Source organism: Homo sapiens, chromosome 10 (genome assembly GCF_000001405.40).
Source record: "Homo sapiens chromosome 10, GRCh38.p14 Primary Assembly".
NCBI classification, from domain to species: Eukaryota; Metazoa; Chordata; class Mammalia; order Primates; family Hominidae; genus Homo; species Homo sapiens.
The window spans coordinates 24,851,891-24,877,690 of record NC_000010.11 but is presented as its reverse complement, the minus strand read 5'-3'; the positions used below and the strand labels follow the sequence as shown (position 1 = coordinate 24,877,690).

The following is a 25,800-nucleotide window of genomic DNA, read 5'->3' as shown; positions in this document are numbered from 1 at the left end:
TGAAATTGTACCACTGCACTCCAGCCTGTGCAACAGAGCAAGACTCTGTCTCAAAAATAAAATAAAATGAAACTATTTCTGAGCTCTACTGAACATTAGTGAAACAGCTAAATCCATTTATATACAGAATCTTCTAGTGCATAGAAAAACCAACTTATTACATGAAGCTAGCATAACTTTGCTTTAAAAATACACAAAGGTAGCAAAAGAAAATAAAACAATGGACCAATCTGACTTATAATATTTTATTTGGGATTGTTCATCTATCTTCAAACCAGCGACGTTCATTAAAAACACACAAACATCAATCCAAGAAATATAGGATGATTTTGAACCATTAGAAAAATATCATGGTTAGGCCTGGTGGGATGGCTCACGGCCATAATCCCAACGATTGGGAGGCTGAGGCAGGAGGATCACTGTAGCCCAGTTGTTTGAGACCAGCTTGACCAAAATAGTGAGACCCAATCTCTACTGGAAAAAAAAAATTAGTCGGGCATGGTGGTATGTGCCTGATTAAGGAAGAGCACTGACTCAGCCTAATAGAGAAAGTGAACATCAAAATGCCTGTGGAGGGGACTATCACTGAGAAGTAGGGGGGTCGTGCCACAAATTCCTGAAAGGTTCAGGAGTAGGTTTTTAGAAGGTGGAGTAAGGAAGGAATGGAATAAAAACAACAAGGTTGGTTGAAAGCCTTTGAATGGAGAAGCTGAACCTCTAAGTTTCCTTCACCATCCCAGTGGGAAATAAAAGGCTTATTTTTCTGGAGTGTTTAAACCAGGGGAGCCCTAGACTCCAGTGTACCAGTGGAGGACTGAGTAGCCATTTCCTCAGGGGCTGAGTCGGGGGGCGGGGGGTTGGGGGAAAGAAGAAAAAGAAATTGGGAGACTGAGGTGGGAGGTTTGCTTGGGGCCAGGAGTTCGAGACCAGCCTGGGCAATACAGTGAGACTTCATCTCTATAAAAAAGTAAAATAAATAATAATAAATTTTTTTTTTGAGATGGAGTCTCGCTCTGTCACACAGGCTGGAGTACAGTGACATGACCTCGGCTCACTGCAACCTCCACCTTCCAGGTTCAAGCGATTCTCCTGCCTCAGCCTCCCGAGTAGCTGGGACTATAGGTGTGCACCAACATACCTGGCTAATTTTTGTATTTTTAGTAGACATGGGGTTTCACCATATTGGTCAGGCTGGGCTTGAACTCCTGACCTCGTGATCCGCCTGCCTCGGCCTCCCAAAGTGCTGGGATTACAGTTGTGAGCCACCGCCCTTGGCCATAAAATTTTTTAAAAAGAAATTAATCCTGTCTAGCATTTACTGAATGCTAAACATGTGCCAGGTTCTGTTCTAAATGTTCCACATGCATTAATTCAGTTAATCTTTGTACAATCTACCAGACAGGAAAAAAAAAATGTACAAAAGTAACCAAGACAGTTTTGGGTTTGTTGGGTTTTTTGTTTTGTTTTGTTTTGGTAGAAACGTTGGTCTCACTATGTTGCTCAGGCTGGTCTCAAACTCCTGGGCTCAAGCAATCCTCCTGCCTCAGCCTCCCAAAGTGCCTGCCTCTGCAGGCATGAGCCACCACCCTCAGCCTCAAGGCAATTTTTAAAAAGAACAAAAAGTAGACTTGCCCTATCAAGTATTAAAACATACTAAAAAGCTCTGATAAGTCCAGGCGTGGTGGCTTACACCTATAATCCTAGCACTTTGGGAAGCCAAGGCAGGAGGATTGCTGGCAGCCAGGAGTTCGAGGGTGCAATGAGCTATGATTACATCACTGCGCTCCAGCCTGGATGACAGAACAAGACCCTGTCTCTTAAAAAAAAAAAAAAAAAAAAAAAAACTATGAGAATTATAACAATATGATTTGGGTGTTGGAAATAGACAAGTTAGATTAATTAATTGGACATGTTAGATTAATTAATGTTGAAGTAGACATGTTAGATTAGAAAAATATAGAAACTGACCCTTACATATGAGAATGAAAGACAAGATCAAAATGATGTTTCAAACCAGTAGGGAAAAATAATAATTCCATAAATTATATTGGAACAATTGACAATATACCCACTTGGAAGATATAAATTCCAGATGAATTAAGGGCAAATCTAGTATTAAAAACATGTATATACATGAAAGGACTGAGAACATTATGCTGAGTGAAATAAGCCAGGCACAGAGTGATACATACCATATAATTGCATTTATATGTGTAATATAAAAAAGCTGAACTCATAGAAGTAGAGAATAGAATGGTGCTTACCAGAGGCTGGGGGCAGCAGGGGAGAATGGGGAGAGGTTGGTCAGTGGGTGCAAAGTTACAGGCAGATAGGAGGAATAAGTTCTGGTGTTCTATTGCACAGCACAAAGACTACAATTAATAATAATGTATATTTCAAAACAGCTAAAAGAGGATTTAAATGTTCTCAACACAAGAAATGATAAATATCTGAAGTGTTGGATATGCTAATTAGCCTTATCTGATCATTCCATAATGTAGAAACGTATCATAACATCGCATTGTACCTCATAAATATTGTATTAGTCCATTCTCATGTTGCTAATACCAACACATACCTGAGACTGGGTAATTTATAGAGGAAAGAGGCTTAATTGATTCACAGTTCCACAGGGCTAGGAAAGCCTCCGGAAACCTACAATCATGGTGGAAGGAGAAACAAACATGCCCTTCTTCACATGATGGCAGGAAGGAGAAGTGCAGAATGAAGCAGGGGGAAAAGACCCTTAATAAAACCATCATATTTCGTGAGAACTCACTCATCATCATGAGAACAGCATGAAGGTAACTGCCTCCATGATTCATTTACCTCCCACTGGGTCCCTCCCCATGACACATGGGAATTATGAGAACTACAGTTCAAGATGAGATTTGGTGGGGACACAGCCTAACCATATCAAATATATATAGTAATTGTTGGTCAATTAAAAATTTTAAAAAAACACGTTTGTACACTTGGAAGAAGTAGGACTTTCTTAAGTAACACTTGCTTGGTAACATAATCTATGACTTTTAGCACATTATTTAGTTATCTGATTTTTGTGGTTTTTGGTTTTAATCAATAGAATGAAGATGAAAATAGTAGAATTATTGTGAAATTTACTCTGATCTGACAGACTATAAATCTCACTGGTTACATTAAACTTTGTAGTTTAGTAGTTGTATTCAATTCTGTATAACCCAGTCCCTGGAAGTACTGAAATTTTATTTTTCCTGCTGCTATTAACAACATATTTAAGTCTAATGTGCAGAAATTCTTCCTGTGTTAATTCCTCTATTTCAGCATCTCTAGCAGTGACAAGAAAATTTTCTCCTTTGACATTTTTGACAAGTCCTTAACCACTGTCATGACTACTTGTGAATATCTGGTGATATATGAACAAAAACAGCAAAACATCTGTAAATTCAGAATATCCTTTGATTTTTCTCCTTTTGACATCAATTCCCATAAGAAGAAAATCACTGGTTTTATCTAACTTAGTGGACCACTTTCAGGATGAGCTAGTGTGTGAAGCCTCTCTCCTTGTCTGCCTGTGCCCCCTCCAACCATCCATGGTAAGGAGTGAATGCTTTACCAAGCAGAAGTAAAAATATATTTGGCCAGGCATAGTGGTGAGCACCTGCAGTCCCAGCTACTTGAGAGGTTGAGGCAGGAGGATCGCTTGAGCCCAGGAGTTTGAGGCAGCAGTGAACTATGATTGCACCACTGCTCTCCAGGCTAGGTGACAGAGTGAGACCATGTCTCTTAAAAAAAAAAAAAAAGGTAAAAAATTATAAGGTCTTTTTTTTTTTTCGTTTGAGCAGCAAGGTAAAAAGACAAAAGGTGTTTCATTGGCAAAACTGTCCTACTGGTGGTTTGGCTGTTTTTTCCCTTCCCAGATGACCAACTCCATAACAAAGTAACTGTACTTCTAGATAGAGACACAGTTACAAGTGAGAGAATCCAATTCAAACCAGCCCAAGAAAATTCCTAAGGGAATTGGCTTGAGTAGCTGGGAAGTCTGAGACTGGGTATAGCTTCAGGCCCAGCTGGTTGGCCTGCACTGCAAAGGCCTGGCCCTACCTGAACCATGTGGAATGGACTCCCCCCAGGAAGAGGGAGGGCCTCTTTAGGAGGAAAGGTGCTGAGCTAGCAAAAGTGACAGCTGTCCACAGCAGTAACTAAAGACGTTTCCTGGTTCAGCATGTAGCACATATGGTGCGTATATTGTTTTTTTCTCCCCAAGGTTATTGTTAGAATCAAGGGATTGCAACATCACAGCATTCTTGCTTGGTCATGAAGCAGACTGCCGGAATGTATCGGCTTTGGTTCCTTTAATGTGGGTCTGTAATGAGGCTGGGAGACAAGTGGCTGGTTCTGTTTCTTGTTTTGCCTCTGTGTCATTCTATCATGATGGTCACTATGTAACAATCCATTTTGTTTGTTTGTTTGTTTTGTGAGGTTTCATTAGGACAGGATAATATACCATACATAAACATGATGAAAGTAAATGATCATAAACTCTAACAGGATTTGAATGAAAAGTCTTCTAAATATGGCTCTGAGGCCAGGCATGGTGGCGCCTATCTGTAATCCCAGCACTTTGGGAGGCCAAGACAGGAGAATCACTTGGGCTCGGGAGTTCAAGACCAGTCTGGACAACATAGCAAGACTTTTTCTGTACTAAAAATAAAAATAAATTAAGAAAAAAATTAGCCAGGCACTGTGGTATGTGCCTGTCTGTAGTCTCAGCTACTTGGGAAGCCGAGACAGAAGGATTGCTTGAGCCTGGGAGATTGAGGCTGCAATGAGCTAGGATCACCCCACTGCACTTCAGCCTGGCCAAAAGTGAGACCCTGTCTCAAAAAAAAAAAAAAAAAAAAATATATATATATATATATACACACACACACATATATATATACACACACACGTGTGCACATATATTTGTATATATATATATATTTTGTGTATTATATATATTTTGTGTATATATATATATACACACACACACGTATAGTTCTGAGTGTCATATTCTTAGGACTGCAGAAATTGGCTGAGACCTCATCATTCATGTCAGAAGGTCTAAGTGCAATACTTCTTGATTCATGGCCTGTTAGAATTGCCCTGGATGTCAGATGAGGGGCTGGATCTCCAATGGCGGGGAGTAGAGGAGGCCTCCGGTCTCTCAGGGAATCAGAATCTGACTGTTCTCCACTGCAGATCTTTAATCAGAGCTTGGTGGCAAAGCTGACACATACTCAGTCCACCCCCAGCTAGGCAAAACACAGAAGCATGACTGTCTTCTCCAATTTTCTCTGCTCCAGGATAGGCTCAGACACCTTCCAGAGTGTTTTGTTTCATGTTAGATTTGTCTGTCCTCTCTCCTCTCTCCCACTCCCCCTGCACACCCAGCCTCTCCCTGCCAGCCATTAGAAAGCTTTGTCTCAAGGGCAGTAGCAGGAGCATGGCTCTTGGTAACCATAGGCAACCATGAATCCCTATTAGCTATTTGTGCTATATTTGTAAGGCACATTCCGGCCACTAACTGGGTAGACAGGAAAATGTGCTTTAAAGGTTTTCTTGTGCGGTAAAATTGTCTCCCTTTTTTTTCTTCTTTTTTGCAGAATGACCAGTCCATGGGTGAGATGCAGATAATCGGAGGCGATGATCTTTCAACGCTGGCTGGAAAGGTTTGTTCATGTAACTGTGCTCAGACCGCATTGAGGTCTGGGGGCATCGGTGACCTGCATTTCAGGTCAGCACTCACAGGACATTTCAGACATGCTCCCGGGTTTTCCAATTCATACAAATGGCTGCGTGAATCCTTTTAATGATCTCCCCTTTCTAAAACATTCTTTTTAGAATGCTTCCAAGACACCATGCAGACCAAATCTTTCTTCTCCGAGCTTCCTTCCAATCTTGTTTCAGACAGCAAAACCCCTTTGCCCACCTTGTTCTAATCCTTTTCTACTCATCTTTCCAGGCACCTTCTGAAAAGGAAGCTTTCCCTTTATTTATTCGTCTGCCTTTTTTTTTTTTTTCATCCATCCTCTGCACCCAGGCACGTCAGTAAGACATTTACACAGGTTCATTGACAAGTACAAAATCTGGGGAGGGAAGAGAAAAGGAACTCTTAAGAGTGCGTTTTCAGCACTTTGCCTTTTTTTCTATTAAAAACAATGTAAACTATTAGATAATAGGAAGAACACCTCCAGTTTTAACTTGGAGTTCCAAATCTGCCAGTGCTTAATAATTAAGTGAAAAGACTGTTTAGATCTGACAGAAATACATAAACTGGAAAGAAGAGTTGTTTCCTAACGAAGATGATGTTCGTGGAATGTTACTTGAAATGCACATTTGCTGTGAATAAAAGCAATCCGGAATTTGTTTTTGTTCAGCCGTACTGACCTAGCTTGTATTCCTTATCCCTGAACTGCTTGGCTTTCTAAGTTAAATGGATTAGTCTATTACACAAGCTTAATCTCTCATACTTGTGCTTGTTATCGTTATGCAATGCCCGGGTAGGGAAAAAAATAGCAGCCACATTTCATAAAAATATGTGTAATAATCATAGGATGGCTATAGAGCCACAAGGACTTTTTTTTTTTTTTTTTTTTTAGACAGAGTCTTGCTCTGTCCCCAGGTTGGAGTGCACTGGCGTGATCTCAGCTCACTGCAACCTCCACCTCCTGGTTTCAAATGATTCCCCTGCCTCAGCCTCCCAAGTAGCTGGGATTACAGGCACCTGCCACCATGCCCGGGTAATTTTTGTATTTTTAGTAGAGACGGGGTTTCACCATGTTGGCCAGGCGGGTCTCAAACTCCTGACCTCAAGTGATCCACCTGTTTCGGCTGCCCAAAGTGGAGCCACAAGGACTCTGACTACAAAACAGTGCACTTCCCTCTACTCTGAAGACAGCATAGTAGATCTATGTGTTAAATGGCTATCTAGCAGTAAATTGTGTTCCATAAAAATCAGAATTAACTTGTTGCTGTTAATGCATCACTAAGCCACCATTTGATGTTACTGTTACATTGGTGCATAAAACAACATCCTAGAAAGCTAAAATACTCAAAGTAATTTCCAGAAATTCATAAGTTTTAACGACCCTGGAGTGGTCTTTAGCTAATACGTCATTTTAGCATTTTATTGTAGGACACTGCCTTACAGGTTTATTACACAAAAGAAATAGTTTACCTTGTGCTTTTGCTATGGAGTCTGTCAAAGTGACAACTCTAAAATTCCCAAATGAATGCCAAGAAGAAATTTGCACATAGACGGCTGGGCATGGTGGCTCATGCCTGCAATCCCAGCACTTTCAGAGGCCGAGATGGGCAGATCATTTGAGGTCGGAAGTTGGAGACCTGCCAGGCCAACATAGCAAAACCCTGTCTCTACTAAAAATACGAAAATTAGCCAGGCATGGTGGTGCACACCTGTAATCCCAGCTACTTGGGAGGCTGAGGAAGAGGATCACTTAAGCTCAAGAGTTAAGGCTGCAGTGAGCTATGATGGCACCAGTGCACTCCAGCCTGGGCGACAGAACAAGACTCTGTCCCTTAAAAAAATAATAATAATAATCTGTATATCCATACCTTGTTTCCACTAGAGCCCTTTCCACAAGTTGCAATGTTTACCTTAGGGCTTATTTTTTATTTGCCTGTCTCCCCAACCAGGAAGTCAGCATGAAGTGGGCAGAGACCATACCTGGTCCATAACAAATTGGAATAAATATTTGGTGACTGAACAAGTGGATGGTCCTCTTATATAGAAATTAGAAAGAAGTCTTTGATTAGTTTGGGGTAAGAGAGGACAGGGCAGAGGGAAATGGTAAATAAGCCCACATGGTCACACCCAAGGACACACCCACCAGCTGGTTAGTTGAGAGGTGGAGAGAAAGGTGCTGAGTGAGGGAGGAGCACCCTCTTTGTTGAGGCAGAAAGGCTTCCTCATAGGAGATTCAACGGGGACTGAGGAAGTGAATGCAACACAGCTGAGGTGGAACAGTGAAAAAAATTTCACTTAGCTTTTAAAATTTCCTTTTCCTTAAAAAAGATAAAGGCCTTCCAATATGCCTTGGCATAACACCAAATAACCACCAGAAGTAGCCAGAGCCCAGTTTGAGCATCACAGTTGTAAATGTTTTAGAAGCTATTTCTGGCATGAGTCAACGGATCATGTAGGTAGAGGCAATGTATTGTTTGTGGAGTTTTTCAGCTGTAGGGGAACTATTAAAATCCATTTGTTTCCATTTGATAGGTAATAAAAATCATTAGTTGTCACTGGGTTTGGGAAACTTAAATGCCCATTACAGCCCTGGGGAAGGGTTTTTGGTCTTATGGAGTGAGTTTGTTAGCATTTACATTATAGTTGCTGCCTTAGGATAGTAGGCTGCTACAATGACTTCTTTGGGTAGCCATTTTCATAAGAAATAAAATACAAGATATGAGTAAGGTTAAAAAAAAAAAAGATAAAGGCCTTCATATGACCCACGCTGTTCACTCATTCTTCATTCAGCCTCTCCGTGAAAGGTTATCAATTAAGTTAGATAGAACAAATAAGCCCCACTATTCAATGGCAATGTAGAGCGACGATGGTTAACAGCAATGTGTTGTATATTTCAAAGTAGCTAGAAGACTTGAAATGTTCCCAACACATAGCAATAATAGACAGTCAAGGCAATGGCTACCCCAAATACCCTGACCTGCTCATTACGCATTCCATGCATGTAACAAACACTCATGTACTCCGTAAATACATAAAACATTGTGTATCAACGAAAAAATAAAATTTAAAAAATAAGGATTGGCAAGATTTTAGAAATAAGTTTTAGAGGCTCTCCAAAATCTTCCCATCATGCAGAATATACACTAGCTGGAAAAAAAAAAAAATGTAAAAGGAAAAGGCACCCAACAGTTAGTGGGTACTTGTTTTAATGGGTGTAGAAGAAAGTCTGAAACTGCAATAAATATCTGCAGTGGATGAAAGGATTGTTGAGGCCAGGAGTTTGAGACCAGCCTGGGCAACATAGTGAGACTGTGTCTCTACAAAAGAAATTTAAAATTTAATTTATTTAATAATTTAAAATGGTGGTGCACACCTGTAGACTCAGCTACTCAGGAGGCTAAGGTGGGTGATCACTTGGGCTCAGGAGGTTGAGACTGCAGTGACTTCTCCTTTCTCCTGTAGTGATAATACAATTTGTCAGTCATTCAGTAAACTTACATTTAAAGTACATTTATCATCATGTTATTACTCTGCCAGGAATTTGTTCCCAGGAAACACACCTTCTCTTATTTCATGCTTGGCACTCTAAGAAGAGCCCCATAGGTCTTTCCATGCAAGACTCTTTCCTTGGATTTAAAGAAATCCAAAGAATGAAGGATTCCTTAGGATTCAGATAGTCTTAGAGAGGGGAGGGTGAGCTTTTACCTGGAATAGAAGGGTTTGTGACTAACACAGAAAAGAGAGCAAGGGCCCCCCAAGGGCAACAGTTGACCCCCAAGCCTCAAGGTACTCCTCCATAGCTATCACTGTCATGTACCCAAAACCAACGATCATTCCCTCCAAATAAATTTAAAAAACCATTAAGCCAGCCAGCCACGGTAGCTCATGCCTGTAATCCCAGCGCTTTGGGAGACTGAGGCGAGTGGATCACTTGAGGTCAGGAGTTTGAGACCAGCCTGGCCAACATGGCAAGATCCCGGTCTCTACTAAAAATACAAAAATTAGCCAGACGTGATGGCACACACCTCTAATCCAAGCTGAGGCAAGAGAATTGCTTGAGCCCTGGAGGCAGAGGTTGCAGTGAGCCAAGATCATGCCACTGCACTCTAGCCTGGGTGACAGAGCAAGACCCTGTCTAAAAAAAAAAAAAAAAAAATTAAACCTACAAAAACCCCACCAAAATTTAATACAATACCGCAACCTATCCCCCACTAATAATTAGCCCTAATCCTTCATAAATAGGTGACGGCTTTGAAGAAAATTCCACAAAGCCTACAACAAGAATAAAACTTAATAAAAATAAAAATATGGAATGGGGTAATCGAGAAAAGAGTAGGATCACTGGACATAAGTGGACCAGCATGACTGAAGGAAATTAATCAAAAACAGGGAAGTAGTAGGAAAAAAAAAATGAAAACACGGGGTTTGATGTGTAGAATACATTGAAAGTCTCAATGAAGAGCTGAACTTGCTCAGCAAAGCAAACAGGAGACACAAAAGTATTTGAGCAGAGATGACATCATGGAGCTGTGTTTTAGGAAAATGAAACTGACAAGAGGGAAGAATGGCTGAAAGAGAGGAGAGAGCAGTTTGGAGGCGGGGTAGGCGGAGCCTGCAGGAGCACTTGAACTACAGGAGCCAAGTTAGGGTGGAAGAGAAGGAATCGTGGTATCAAAAGGAGCCGTGACAGAGTTAAATGAAGGAGGGAGGGCTAGAAAGGATTTTTTAAAATTAAATTTGTGTATGAAAGAACTCTATAAAACATGGGGAAATAGCTCACCTACATAATCTTGTCATGCTGTGAGTTAGAGGCATTATGAACCCATAACTGTATAATACTTCTGGAGCCCTTGAAGACATGGGATTAAAATATTTAGAAAAAAAGGAGACTCTACACAGCCCTCTCTCTCTCTCTCTCCCTCCCTCCATCTCTCTTTTTCTTTCTTTCTTCCATTTCTTTCTCCCTTTCTTTTTTTTAAATAAAACATTTTTTACTTTGAACCCCGAGAAACTACCTTTCTTTCTCATCTCTTCCTTGCTTTTTTTGTTCTCTTTCTTTCTCTCTTCCTTTCTCTCTTTTTCTTTCTTTTTGTATTTTTTTGCTTTTTTTAAAATTCCTTTCTCTCTCTTCCTTTCTCTCTCTTCTTTTCTCTCTCTCTCTCTCTCTTTCTTTCTTTTCTTCCAAGGAAAGGAAGCTCACAAGGGAAGCTGTCTGAGTCATGGTTCTAAATAGGTCATTGCTGTTGAATAAAGTGAGCCCTCAATGATTAAGTTAAATGGCCTCTTCAGTTCATGATGTTAAAAGCATTTTATTCGGTGTGTTTAAGCTGTCTACACAATGTACTCTCTGGCTGATTTTTTTTCCAAAGTTGATTTAATATTGGCACTTCATAAAATGTGTGTATCTATTAAAGTAAGATTTTATTCATATTCACGAGGAACCTCTGAAAGGGTGGAATAAAACAAAATGCATGGAAACAGGCTCAAATCTGGCACCATGAAAACACAGATGTGCAGGTTAAGCCCAAGATTTTGGGAGACATGCCCCCCAAACCTGCCCTCAAATAAGTTTTTTTTTCTTTTTTTTTTTTTTTTTTTTGAGGCAGAATCTCGCTCTATCGCCCAGGCTGGAGTGCAGTGGTACGATCTCAGCTCACTGCAACCTGCACCTCCCACGTTCAAGCGATTCTCCTGCCTCAGCCTCCTGAGTGGCTGGGATTAGAGGAGCCCACCACCATACCCAGCTAATTTTTGTAGTTTTAGAAGAGATGGGGTTTCACCAAGTTGGTCAAGCTGGTCTCAAACTTCTGACCTCAAGTGATCCACCCTCCTCAGCCTCCCAAAGTGCTGAGATTACAGGAATGAACCACTGTGCCCAGCCTAAGATTCTAATTAAATGCCAGAGTGAAGCATCGGAAACTGCCAAAAGTTCCCCCTTGGCTGCCTTAACTGTTTAAATCATTCTTTTTTTATTTCATCTGACTAAGCTGAGAACAATAATGGAAAGACCCACTGACTGATGATTCTGGAAATTTTGTGAATTATCACATAAAACGAAATGCTAAACTACATTCCCTTTTCCATGGGGTTTATATTCACATTCCTACTCATTCTCCATATCCCCAATACAGCTCATTGTCACTGCTGCCATTGCTCTTGATTAGTGTGATCACGGCCACCAAACTACACTGCTGCAGATGAGACGGTGTGGTGTGCAAATCACTGTGTGCTCTAAAATACTAGAAGTAGGAATAACCTATTTAAGAATATCATGTAGGTTTGTGCAATTCTTTCCTCCCTTCTTTTCTTCTTTCTTCCTTTCTTTTTCTTTTTTGTTAGGAAACCCCTTGTGATTAGTTTTGATCAGAATCATGCAACAGCAAAGAAAGCACACCCCAGAGATTCCTCATAGAGTTTTTGCCTGCAGCTCCTAGGCTGCAGATTTTACTGGCTTTCTGGGAGGAAATGAGCTAGGTGTGATGAGATGACTAAGACAGTAACTGGCAAACATCTCAGATGCAGTGATCAGAGTTATCAGATTGGAAGTGTTTAGGAGGCATGGTGTGTACTGAAAAGAGAAGTTGCCCACTCAAAAAACCTGAATTTTAGGAAATTGCTTAGTGCAAAATTAAAAGCAATAGACATTGATAATAGCTTGGTTAAGGAGGAATTGCAGATTGTTAAGGAAAAATGGAGGGGATGAATCAGAAATACAATGAACCAGAGAAAGTGAAAGAAATGAGGTCAAAATTGTTGATTCACTACACAGGTATTTCTTGAGTACCTACTAGATGCCAGTCTCCATGTTATGTATTTTTGTTCGTTTGTTTTGTTTTGTTTTGTTGAGACAGAGTCTCACTCTGTCACCCAGGCTGGAGTGCAGTGGCACGATCTCAGCTCACTGCAACCTCTGCCTCTCCGGTTTAAGCAATTCTTGTGCCTCAGCCTCTCGAGTAGCTGGGACTACAGGCGTGCACCACCATGCCTGGCTAATTTTTATATTTTTAGTAGAGACAGAGGTTCACCATGTTGGCTAGGATGTTCTCAAACTCCTGGCCTCAAGCAATCTGCCTGTCTTGGCTTCCCAAAGTGCTGGGATTACAGGTGTGAGCCATCGCACCCAGCCTCCATGTTATATATTGATTATATAAAGATAAATAGTTTTGGCTCCTTAGCTCTTTGAGCTAATCTTAGGCACAGCCATATCTCAGAGTTATTGTGGATTTGGTTTCAGATCACCACGATAAAGAGAGCCACACAAATTTTTTGATTTTTCAGTGCATATAAAACTTATGTTTATACTGTATGGTAGTCTACTAAGTGTGTGATAACATTATGTCTAAAAAATAAGGCACATAACTTAATGAAAAACTACTTCATTGCTAAAAAACAATGCTAATGATCATCTGAGCCTTCAGTGAGTCATCATCTTTTTGCTGGTGGAGGGTCTTGCCACGATGTTGATGGCTGCTGACTGATCAGGCTGGTGGGTGCTTCAGAAGGTTGGGGTGGCTGTAGCAATTTCTTAAAACAAGACAACAGTGAAGTTCACTGCTTAGATTGACTCTTCCTTTCATGAAAGATTTCTCTGTAGATTGTGATGCTGTTTGATAGCATTTTACCCACAGTAGAACTTCTTTCAAAATTGAAGTTAATCCTCTCCAGCCATGCTACTGCTTTATCAACTAAGTATATATAATATTTTAAACCCTTTGTTGTCATTTCAACAATGTTCACAGCATCTTCACCAGGAGTAAATTCCATCTCAAGAAATCACTTCCTTTGCTCATCCATAAGAAGCAACTCCTTATCTGTTCAAGTTTGATCATCAGGTTACAGCAATTCAGTCACATCTTCAGGCTCCACTTCTAATTCAGTTTCTCTTGCTATTGCCACCACATCTGCAGGTACTTCCTCCACTAAAGTCTTTTTTTTTTTTTTTTTTTGAGACGAGTTGTTGCTCTGTCGCTGGTGTGCAGTGGCATAGTCATGGCTCACCACAGCCTCTACCTCCCCAGGCTCAGGTGATCCTCCCACCTCATTTTTTGTAGAGACAGGGTTTTGCCACGTTGCCCAGGCTGGTCTCAAACTACTGGGCTCAAGCAATCCGCCCACCTCAGCCTCCCAAAGTGCTAGGATTACCTGTAGCAGCCACCGCCCTTGGCCTCTCCACTGAAACCTTGGGCCCCTCAAAGTTATGCATGAGGGTCGGAATCAACTTCTTCCAAACTCCTACTCATGTTAATATTTTGATCTCCACTCATGGACGATGAATGCTCTGAATGGCATCTAGAATGGTGGATCTTCAGGTTTTCAATTTACTTTACCCAGATCCATCAGAGGAATCACTATCTATGGGCAGCTATCACCTTACAAAATCTATTTCTTAAATAATAAGACTTGAAAGTTTAAATGACTCTATGGGCTGCAAAATGGATGTTGTGTTAGCAGGCATGAAAATAATCTCCTTGTAAACATCTCCATCAGAGCTCTTAGGTGACCAGGTAGATTGTTAATGAGCATAATATTTTGAAAGGAATCTTGTTTTCTGCGCAGTAGGTCTCAAGAATGGCCATAAAATATTCATTTCAATAAACCATGCTGTAAGCATGTTGTAAGCAGATGTGCCTATATAAACAGGCTTTGCTGCTCCATTTATAGAACACAGGCAAAGTTGATTTAGCATCATTTTAAGCACCCTAGCATTTTTGGAATGGTAAGTGAGCATTGACTTCAACTTAAAGTCACCAGCTGCATTAGTCCCTAAAAGGAGTCAGTCTAGGGGGCGTCACAGTGACTCACACCTCTAATCCCAGCACTTTGGGAGGCCAAGCCAGCGGATCACCTGAGGTCAGGAGTTCAAGACCAGCCTGGCCAACAGGGTGAAACCCCTTCTCTACTAAAAATACAAAAAAATTAGCTGGGCATCCGGCGTGCACCTGTAATCCCAGCTACTTGGGAGGCTGAGGCAGGAGAATTGCTTGAACCCAGGAGGCAGAGGTTGCTGTGAGCCGAGATTGTGCCACTGCACTCCAGCCTGGGCAACAGAGCAAGACTCTGTCTCAAAAGAAATAAAATAAAAACAAATAGTACATTAAAGATCGCTGATCCCAGATCACCATAACCACAATGACAATGAAAGTATTTGAAATATTGCAAGAATTTCCAGAATATGACACAGAGACACAAAGTGAGTACACACTGTCAGAAAAATGACACCAATACACGTGCTCAACACAGGGTTGCCATAAACCTTCAATTTGTAAAACAGAAACAAAAACAAAAAAAAACCACAGTCTCTGTAAGGTGCAATAAAGAGAAATTTGGGAGGCCAAGAGGGGCAGATCACCTGAGGTCAGAAATTCAAGACCAGCCTGGCCAACATGGTGAAACCCCATCTCTACTAAAAATACAAAAATTATGCATGCGTGATGGTGCACACTTGTAATCCCAGCTACTCGGGAGGCTGAGGCAGTAGAATCACTTGAACCCAAGAGGCAGAGGTTGCAGTGAGCCAAGATCGCGCCATTGCACTCCAGCCTGGGCAATAGAGTGAGACTTCATCACAAAAAAAAAGAGAAATGTAAAAAACAAGGTATGCCTATACTGCAAAAGAGACTGTTCTAAATTAAAAGAGAAGGGAAGATCCAATCCATGGTATAGGTTGGATAAACCAGCTACAAAGGCCATTTTAAGGACAACTGGGGAAATTTGAATATATAGTAGGCTTTATATGATGTTAAGAAATTATCATCATTTTTGTTGGATGTTATAATAGTTTGGCTATACATAATAAAGAATTCATGATACCTTTAATCTATTTTAAAGCACATAAAAATTTTATATACTTTAAACAGTTAAGCATGTATCAAAAATTTAGAAAGTCTTTAGACTTTTCTGGTTTTCAAGCATTTTATAATGTTTTATATTTATATATTATAGAAAGTACAAACTTTCTTTGACAGGTATATATTTATATGTAAGGAAATATGTGCACTTTCTATAATAAGAATGAATACACGGCTGGGCGCAGTGGCTCATGCCTGTAATCCTAGCACTCTGGGAGGCTGAGGAGGGAGGATCACTTGAGGCCAGAAGTTCAAGGTTACAGGGAGCTATGATCGAGATCCTGTCTCTAAAAAATAAAAATAAAATTTAAAAATACGCATTTGTACTTAAACCCTTTTTAAGAAACAAGCAACCTAAAAGTCAATAAATGATTTAAATATGTTTTTAAGTACAGAAATAGCTATGTGAAACATGACTAAGTCTATTTTTTAGAAATAAAAAAGTAACAAGCAGAAAAACAGCTAAAAGAGTTAAAAGTGACTGTCTCTGGGAAGCAAAATTGGGAGCAAACAGAGGTGAAGTGATGGAGGGGTGTTTTTCTTTTAAAAACCTTTCAATCTATTTGATTTGGTTTTTTGTTTGTTTGTTTGTTTGTTTTTGTTTTTTGTTTTGAGATAGAGTCTTACTCTGTTGCCCAGGCTGGAGTGCAGTGGCACCATCTCAGCTCACTGCAACCTCCACTTCCCAGGTGCAGGCACTTCTCCTGCCTCAATCTCCCAAGTGGCTAGGACTGCAGGCTGGCCACCAAGCCCAGCTAATTTTTATATTTTTTGGTACAGAAGGGGTTTCAATATACTGGCCAGGCTGCTCTCGAACTCCTGACCTCAGGTGATTTGCCCGCCTCAGCCTCCCAGAGTGCTGGGATTACAGGTGTGAGCCACGGCGCCTGGCCTCAATCTATTTTAAACATGTGTATGCATTACCTTGATTTGAAGATGTATTTGAATAATTTTGACAGTGTCTTTCAATATCTCTCAATATCAGTATACATCCAAATCCTACTTCCCACTTACCACTATATCTTAGAATTGAAGCTAATCTTTTCAAAGATGACTCTATTGTTTTGCAAGGTTCTGTACTGTCAAAAAAATATTTAATTACATTCAACACATACACTCTACTTAATTAGGCAGGAATGCAGACTAACACATTTTAGAAAGGTTTTTCTTTTTAAAGTTGAAACAAAAAGAGATTGTGAGCCAGAAAATTAAATTAACCACAACATTCTCCAAGTATTCTGGTTGGTTTATAGGTCTGATTGGTAAGCGTCAATCAAACTAAAAATGCACATATCAAGTAACTACTGCAAATTGGTTGTTAGGATCATAGAAATTCTTGTTGAAAATACCAAGAGGACTCCCCTGGCAGTATGACTCTTGTATTTTTTGTTAGAGAAGGGGTTTCAATACACTGAAATATACTGAAAGAGTGGAGGGTAACGTGGCATGCCCTGCTTCAAAAATGGACAAAATAATCTTATACATTTCCATGATAAAATTAAGATTTTCAATGGATTTAATGAATAAAAATGTCATAACTGACAGAAAAACACTTCCAAGAAGTTATTTTAACATAAGAATGTGTTTGATATACGGTGCAAAGTTAACAGAGTTGTTGGTCGGCTGGTTTGGTGGTTGGGTGGTTAACATTTTTATTAATTAAATCTTGCATTAAACATAAGTAAGTTATCGAATGTGTAGTATTTGATCTGATTTTTCTTTTTTTCTTTTGAGATGGAGTCTCACCCTGTCATCCAGGCTGGAGTGCAGTGGTGCAATCTTGGTTCACTGCAACCTCCGCCTCCCGGTTTCAAGTGATTCTCCCGCCTCAGCCTCCTGAGTAGCTGGGATTACAGTCACCTACCACCACACCCAGCTAATTTTTGTATATTTTAGTAGAGACGGGGTTTCACCAAATTGGCCAGGCTGGTCTTGAACTCCTGACCTCAGGTGATCCACCCACCTCGGCCTCCTAAAGTGCTGGGATTACAGACGTGAGCCACTGTGCCAGGCCATGATTCTTAAAGTATTGTATAAATCATAGAGATAAATGAAACATCATCTGAAGAAAGAGAAACACCATTACGTTGAAAGGATAGTCTCACCATTTAGTAAACTGGGATGGCATATTAACAGTCATATTTTAATTTGGTGGGGCAGCATTAACATGTCACTGCTAATCCAATTAATCAGTCAGTTTTAACTCAGTAATAAGTTTAATCAGTTATTATTGCTTTATTCAACAAATAATTATTGAGCATTTATATGCAGGCATTATGCTAGTTTCTGGCAATGCGGTAGGAATCAAGACAAACATGATCCCAACCTCATGGAGATTAGAATATAGTGGGGAAGACAGATATCAAACAAGAAATTAAAATGCAGTACAATCATCGTGTATTAGTCCTTCCTCACACTGACATAAAGAAATACCTGAGACTGGGTAATTTATAAAGAGAAAAGGTGTAATTGGCTCACAGTTCCGCAGGCTGTATAGGAAGCATGGTGCTGGCATCTGTTCTGCTTCTAGGGAGGCTTCAGGAAACTTAAAACTGTGACAGAAGGTGGCTGGGTGTGGCGGCTCGTGCCTGTAATTCCAGCACTTTGGAAGGCCAAGGAGGGCAGATCACTTGAGCTCAGCCTGGCCAACATGGTAAAACTCCATCTCTACTAAAAATACAAAAATTAGCCAGGCGTGGTGGTGCATACCTATAATCCCAGCCACGTGGGAAGGTGAGGTGGGAGAATCGATTGAACCCGGGAAGCGGAGGTTACAGTGAACGGAGATAGCACTACTGCACTCCAGCCTGGGTGACAGAGTGGGACCCTGTCTCAAAAAAAAATTATGGCAGAGGCAAAGGGAGAGCAGCACTTCAGATGTCTGGAGACAGATATGGAGCAAGAGAAAGAGGGGGAGGTGTCATACACCTTTAAACAACCAGATACAACACCACCAAGGGGCATGATGATGCTAAACCATTCATGAGACCCACCCCCGTGATCCAGTCACCTCCCACCAGGCCCCGCCTCGAGCACTGAGAATTACACTTCAACATGAGATTTGTGCAGGGACACAGATCCAAACCATATCACAGTGTTCTTAGGGGAGAGGTAGAGGAATGCCTTGAGAGCTTGTTGCAAAGAATCTAACCAGCTCGCTAAAAATACAGACCAGGCACCTCCCAGCCCTTTCTCTAGCCTACCCTCTTCATCTAGGTTGACAATCCAAGAGGAAATCCTGAGTCCCCAGGGATTTTCGTGGCTGTGCAAGAGTAAGGCTGTCACAGCTGAACCCATGATGCATTTACCGAGCACGGTCTCCATTAGCAATGCAGTTCATGTTGCATTGTTTTCCTGGTAAACTCTCAACAGGCTTTGCCTCCCAAGGGAATGCTGGGGGTGGGAGGCCCTTGGCAGAATTACTGAAATGGGATGACTTTATGGAGAGCTCGTCAGACAGGTCTAAGATAAGCTTGCTTCTAACCTAAATATAGATACTAATATTGCACCACCAACTAATTCCAGAGGACCTGTTAAAATGAATCTGGAAAACCTAGATCACCTCTAGTCCTTTGAATTAGATGGATGGGGAAGGACCGTCTAAGTAAATTGTGAAATTCTAACTATAAGCAAAAAAATGTGTATGTATCCTGTGAGTCAGATTGGCATCACATTCTAAAATATGGGTTTTGTTTATTTCAGAATGTTCTCATTGTTGAGGTAAGCTGGCATTTCCTTTTCCATACTTGGAGGTTGAAAGAATCTAATGGTGAGTTTTAAACGGTAAACCTTGTTATCAAATTGACCAAGGATTTCTTGAGCTCCCACTGGGTGCATGCTCTCCAAATTTAATGAATAGGGGCCAGATAGCGTCCCTGATTTCAAATAATGTAGAATAAAAGCTTTGCAACAGTATTTGTGGGCGACTTTATCCTTTTTGTGTATCCAGTTCCACATATCTCTGTGTTGATTCTTATACTTCTTTGTGAATCAGACAACTTTAAAGAAGAGGAAACTAGCTCACTGAACCAAATTCATTTCACAGTAAAACCAAGGTTAGAACTCTGTTTACCCTGAATTCAGTGTCTTTGCTAAGGACCTCTGATGATTTCAAGAATTCTCAAATACTTTCAGCATCAAAATCATAAACACAATCAATTAAAAATGACGAGCTATGGGGAAAGCTATGTTTTTTTGTTTTTCGTTTTTCGTTTTTTTTAACTTTTGTTTTTCTGTTAAAAAAAAGAGAGAAAAGAGAACGTGGGATCCCTATGGCAGTAGTGGACTAATACAGCAAATGGCCACGTTTCCTTCAGGAGCACGCTTGTCTCATCAAACAGCAAAAAATTCAGGGGAGCTGTTTTCAACCTTTTGTTACACAATTGCCTGTGTGCGCCATGTGCATCTGGAGTTCTTGCTCAGTATAACCCATGGAGTAGACCCTCTAACCAAATGAATTGCCCAACCCTGGCTACATTCAGACCTGTTGTTTTGATAATCAGCTCATGACAGCTGATTCCTGTCCTTAGGACAATAAATCGCCGCTGCCCATTCTCCTCTAATTGTGCAGCAGCTCATCAGCAGAGATGAGCCCGAGCTCACTGCAGCCGTGGACCCTCAGAATTCACAGGCTGTCACCAGCTGCTGTCCAGACACCTCTCACTTCCCAGCCATAGAATCCCCCATTGAGTGGGGGAGGACAAGGGGGAGGTTTTTATCCATTCAGTGTATTCAGATGTACATATCCATGAAAATTCATGTGCCTTGTATTGTGTTACATAAACTCAGGGCCAAATTTAGTCCTTGAATGTGCAGACACAAGTCCAAGTGTACTCAACGAGGAGTCCTACATGCTGTCCAAAGACTAAATTTGGCCCTTCAACACAGCTAAAGGATTCAAGGAGGAAAGAGTCTCCAGTAGATTCCCCAAAACTCAGCTTCCAGAAAGAAGCGCCTGTCTAAATAAAACATAACCAACTCTTCCTCCTACTGTGGCTCCAAATTGGATGGCATTTTTAATTACGATGCATTATTAATCAGGAGTATCTCCCTGGGTGAAAAGTCTATTGTGCTGCTCAAATGCATTTTGTTGAATTTATCTGTCCTTTTTGCAAAGGATGTTGTCGGAACTGGGAGGACCATGAAAGCACTACTCAGCAATATAGAGAAATACAAGCCCAACATGATTAAGGTAGCCAGGTGAGTTGGACATTCATAGCATGGTGATTTCTAGTTTTCCAAGCAAGCCCAAAAGGGATGCTAACACAGGATGCTCTTTCCAAAGAGTGTAATATATTCCAAACTAGTGACCTTTTCCCCTGGGGTATTACAGCTTGACCACACTGAAAAACAGCCCTTGACTGCTAGCCTGAGAGAAGTAAGGGAAGAAGACGTGCTTTGCCGTGTTTCTGAGTTCCTCTTTACTGTGCCTCCATTAGCTGTTTCCAGGAGCAGCTGGATGAGCCCCCGTGCAATTGCTCCGCTCCCTTCATTTTTTTTGTTCTTTGTTTGTTTGTTTTGAGACAGAGTCTTGCTCTGTTGCCCAGGCTGGGCTGGAGTGCAGTAGCACAATCTCGGCTCACTGCAACCTCCACCCCCTGGGTTCAAACAATTCTGATGCCTCAGCTTCCCGAGTAGCTGGGACTACAGGCGCCTGCCACTGCACCCAGCTAATTTTTTGTATTTTTAGCAGAGATGGGGTTTCACCATGTTGGCCAGGCTGGTCTGGAACTCCTGACCTCAAGTGATCTGCCTGCCTCAGCCTCCCAAAGTGCTAGGATTACAGGCACGAGCCACTGCACCCGGCCCTTTTTTTTTTTCTTTTTTATTCTTTAATATGAGACAGGGTCTTGCTCTGTCGCCCAGCCCAAGCTGGAGGGCAGTAGTGTGATCATAACTCACTGCAGCCTCAAACTTCTGGGCTCAAGTGATCCTCCCACCTCAGCCTCCTGAGTAGCTAGGACAGCTACCTTTTTTTTTTTTTTTTTTTTTTTTTTTTGAGACGGAGTCTTGCTCTGTCACCCAGGCTGGAGTGCAGTGGTACAATCTCAGCTCACTGCAACTTCACCCTCCCGGGTTCGAGCAATTCTCTTGCTTCAGACTCCCATGTAGCTGAGACTGCAGACACGTACCACCATGCCCAGCCAATTTTTGTATTTTTAGTAAAGATGGGTTTTCACCATGTTGGCCAGGCTGGTCTCAAACTTATGAGCTCAAGTGATTTGGCCTCCCAAAGTGCTGGAATTACAAGCATGAGCTACTGTGCCTGGCTGACAGCTACCTTTTTAAAAAGTTTTTTTATATTTTATCTGCTTTTTGAGACAGGGTCTCTTTCTGTCACCTAGGCTGGAGTGCAATAGTGCAATCAAGGCTCACTGCAGCCTTCAACTCCTGGGCTACAACAATCCTCCCACCTCAGCCTCCCAAGTAGCTGGGACTACAGGCAGGTGCCACCACACCCAGCTAAATTTTTTAATTTTTTGTAGAGACAGGGGTCTCGCTATGTTGCCCAGACTGGTCTTGAACTCTGGGCTCAAGTGATCCTCCCACCTTGTCCTCCCAAAGCACTGGGATTACAGATGTAAGCACTGTGCCTGACCTGCTGTCTTCTTTTTATCCAGAACCATCTATATAGTGCCACAGTAGCAAAATATGTATTTCAAGTACATCTTTTAATGATGCTTGATTCTATTTACAATTCATAGAGATTTGATTGGGTTCACTAAAGCATGTCTTTTTTAATGGTAGTTTGTTGGTGAAGAGAACATCCAGAAGTGACGGCTTTAGACCTGACTGTAAGTGTTTTTCAGTTTTTTGTTTGTTTGTTTGTTTGTTTTGTGCTTATGGTGTTTCATTTTATGTTTAAGAATCTTTGGTTTCCTATTTGACAGCATTGCATGTGGATTTGAAACTGTGTAGGGCTGATAGTCCCACGGATTCCTCATGATCTCCCCCACCTTGATAGGGAAAACAGAACCCTTCAAAATGAGGGTCTTCAATGTTCTAATTTGCATCTTTCACAGGAACTCTGTTCCGTGCATTGGGTATTTTTATTTGTATGTTTCACACAGCACCTTAACTACAGAGAAGTCAGCTGAAAAGTTTCAGGGAGTAGAGGAAGACCTGATCCCGCTGGACTGACTCAGACACATAGGATCCCCGCCTTGGCCTCTATTCTCACCAGTCAGACAAGGAGAGGTGCTATGGAGGTTTAGAGGGATTCTTATGCCATCATCCGGAACTATTACCAGACAACGCACAATGGTGACCTTTAGCAAGCCTGAATTGTAACGCACAGAAGGGGAAATCTAAGACAGCTCCCCTTCACCTCCAAACCAAAGCTCCGTAACACAGAGAATTAGCAGAGCAGGTATCTCTAGATACCATCTTCACACTTGACTTCAGATGTGTGTTCTCTAGGGCTTCCTCATCTAGGACACTCTCCTCCCTTCTCCCCATAATAAGCCTAGTTCTAACACCAAGAAGGATAAACACGCAGCCTAATTATTTATTATTCTAACACTAGAGGCGATTTTTTTTCACTTGCATAGGCAGACTTCAGCTTGATTTTTATAACTTACATTTGCTCCAAAGCTCCTGGGATAATTTGGCTACAGTTCTCTTCAGCAAGCTGAACAAACATTAGCGAAAGAGAAGTGCAGTATGGATGGGTGACATGCCAGCGACATTTAGCCAGTGACTCTACATTCTGAAAACAAGTTTCATGCCTGTGCTGGATGTGTTAACTCTGGACCATGTCAGTTCTGGGCAGAGAGACCCAATCGCATGTTCTCATCTATTACTATTATCAAAGGTATAATCTGGATGTAGTCAAGGTTGCATGCGGTTACTAAGCAGAAATTGTCTAAGGAAATAGTACAGGATACTCAGTGTATAAATAAGATTTTAACTGAAGTTGAAAAACATTCACTTCAATGACAAATTTCTTATATCACTTATAATAACAGCAATAAAATAATAGCAGCTAACACTAGGAAGAGGTCGTGATGTGCCATGCACTATTCTAAGAGCTATACAGAGATTAGCTCATTTCATCCACACAATAGCTCTCTAAAGGTAGGAGCTGTTGTTGTACCTATTTTACAGATGAGGAAATTGAGCACAGCAAGCTTAAATAGCTTGCCAAAGTCATGTAGCCATGAGTGTCAGGCCAATATTAAGCCCAGGCAATCTGGTTTCAGTCACTGCCCTGACTCTTCCACTACATCTGCAAGTAACATCTGCTATTGCAAATGTAAGTGTAGGAGCTGCCTGCATTTACCAGCTAAGGATAGGTCACTCTGATTCATGATTGTCCTGCTGATCCATCATCCTTTTATTCTATGACATCTCAAGTTTTGGCCTTCTAAATAGGCTTTGGGCTCTCATTTTCCCAGTGTGAGTTGCCCTGCCTAATGGAAGGATTGCATTGCTCCCTATAAAGTCATTATTATAACCCTGGTTACAAACAGGGTTTCTTGGGATTTGCTCATATTATTATTATTATTATTTGAGACGGAATCTGACTCTGTCGCCCAGTGCAGTGGCGTGATCTTGGCTCACTGCAACTTCTGCCTCCCAGGTTCAAGTGATTCTCCTGCCTCAGCCTCCCAAGTAGCTGGGACTACAGGTACCACCACACCTGGCTAATTTTTGTATTTTTAGTAGAGATGGGGTTTCACCATGTTGGCCAGGCTGGTCTTGGACTCCTGACCTCAGGTGATCCACCCACCTAAGCCTCTCAAAGTGCTGGGATTACAGGCGTGAGCCACTGCACCTTACCTTTTTTTTTTCTTTTTGAGATGGGATCTCACTTTGTTGCCTAGGCTGGTCTCAAACTCCTGGCCTCGAATGATCTTCCTGCCTCAGCCTCTTGAATAGCTGGGACTGCAGGTGCGCACCCGGCTTCATATTCTTTTAGCTAGCTCAGAATCTCTGTTCCTTCTTTCTCTCTGGATTTATGAGGCTTTGTACTTTGCGTTCCTTTCTCCTGATTGATTCTTTCTTTTCTCCTCAATGTAACTTCTGACCTCTTCTGCTCTTGCTTCTCCTCTCTTACTCTTTTTTTCAAGAAACTCTGCAGTTTGGAGGAATCAAGCAGGCTTCCTAGCAAGGGACTCCATAATGCAACCCCCTAGAAAATAAGTCCCTCACCTCTAGTACTTATTTTCCTAGCAAGGGACTCCATAATGTAACCCCCTAGAAAATAAGTACCTCCAGTACTTTCTATGAGCATGAACCAGTCGTTTTCTTCTTGTGAAAGCATCGTTGGTCATAGTCACTGTGGAGATGACTTTGCCCAGGCTATAAGCCCACTGGCTGTACCCAAGTACACTTCCATTAAAAGTAAGCAAATAAATCTCTCATCTATAATACTGTAATAAACAAACCTGTAAGATTCCAAAACACTGAAACAAGTTTGAAAATCACTGGACCAGTGCACCTTTATTCTGTTTCAAGACTTCTGAAGAAGGAGAGCTATTGTCTGTTCCTTAAGAATTCTCTCCAATAAGTATTAGCCAGGCGTAGTTTTGCATGCCTGTAGTCCCAGCTACTCAGGAGGCTGAGGTGAGAGGATCTCCTGAGCCTGTGGAGGTAGAGGCTGCCGTGAGCCATGATCACACGCCTGGACAACAGAGTGAGATCCTTTCTCAAAAAATAGCCAGGTTCAGTGGCCCATGCCTGTAATCCCAGCACTTTGGGAGACTGAGGCGGATGGATCACTTGAGGTCAAGAGTTCGAGACTGGCCTGGCCAACATGGTGAAACCCCATCTCTACTAAAACTACAAAAATTAGCCTGGCATGGTGGCACACGTCTGTCTTCCCAGCTACTCGGGAAACTGAGGCAGGAGAATGGCTTGAACCCTGGTGGTGGAGGCTGCAGTAAGCCAAGATCGCGAGACTCGGTCTCAGAAAAAAAAAAAGAATCCTTTCTGACAAAAAATCATCATCTTTTCAATGAATCTTCTTTTGCTTTTCATAAGTACCTTGCACTGTGCTTAAATCCATTTCCTCTCATTCTGCCCTCAGTAGGGAGCTCATTAATATCCTCTGCATCATGAACCCAAAGACCAGCATTAATGCAACCTCCACATTCTCTTCCTCAAGTTGAACAATCCCGTTGCCTTTCATCTTGTGTCCTGGCTTTTGCTTTCCAGCCCTTTAAACAGCCAAGACACTGAGTACAGCGGGAGAATTGCTTTCTAGTTGCTGTGGCCCGC

The 25,800-nt window shown here is 41.5% G+C and overlaps 1 protein-coding gene across 2 annotated transcripts in view; it reads left to right on the top strand.

Annotated features, from left to right (window-relative positions):
- PRTFDC1 (phosphoribosyl transferase domain containing 1) overlaps positions 1 to 25,800 on the top strand; it is a 103,993-nt gene that overhangs the window by 74,916 nt on the left and 3,277 nt on the right. For both annotated transcript variants that reach the window (NM_001282786.2, NM_020200.7), the window contains exons 4-7: positions 5,628 to 5,693; positions 19,282 to 19,299; positions 20,696 to 20,778; positions 22,327 to 22,373. In NM_001282786.2, the coding sequence (NP_001269715.1) occupies positions 5,628 to 5,693; positions 19,282 to 19,299; positions 20,696 to 20,778; positions 22,327 to 22,373 (214 nt within the window). The remainder of the gene's footprint in view (positions 1 to 5,627; positions 5,694 to 19,281; positions 19,300 to 20,695; positions 20,779 to 22,326; positions 22,374 to 25,800) is intronic.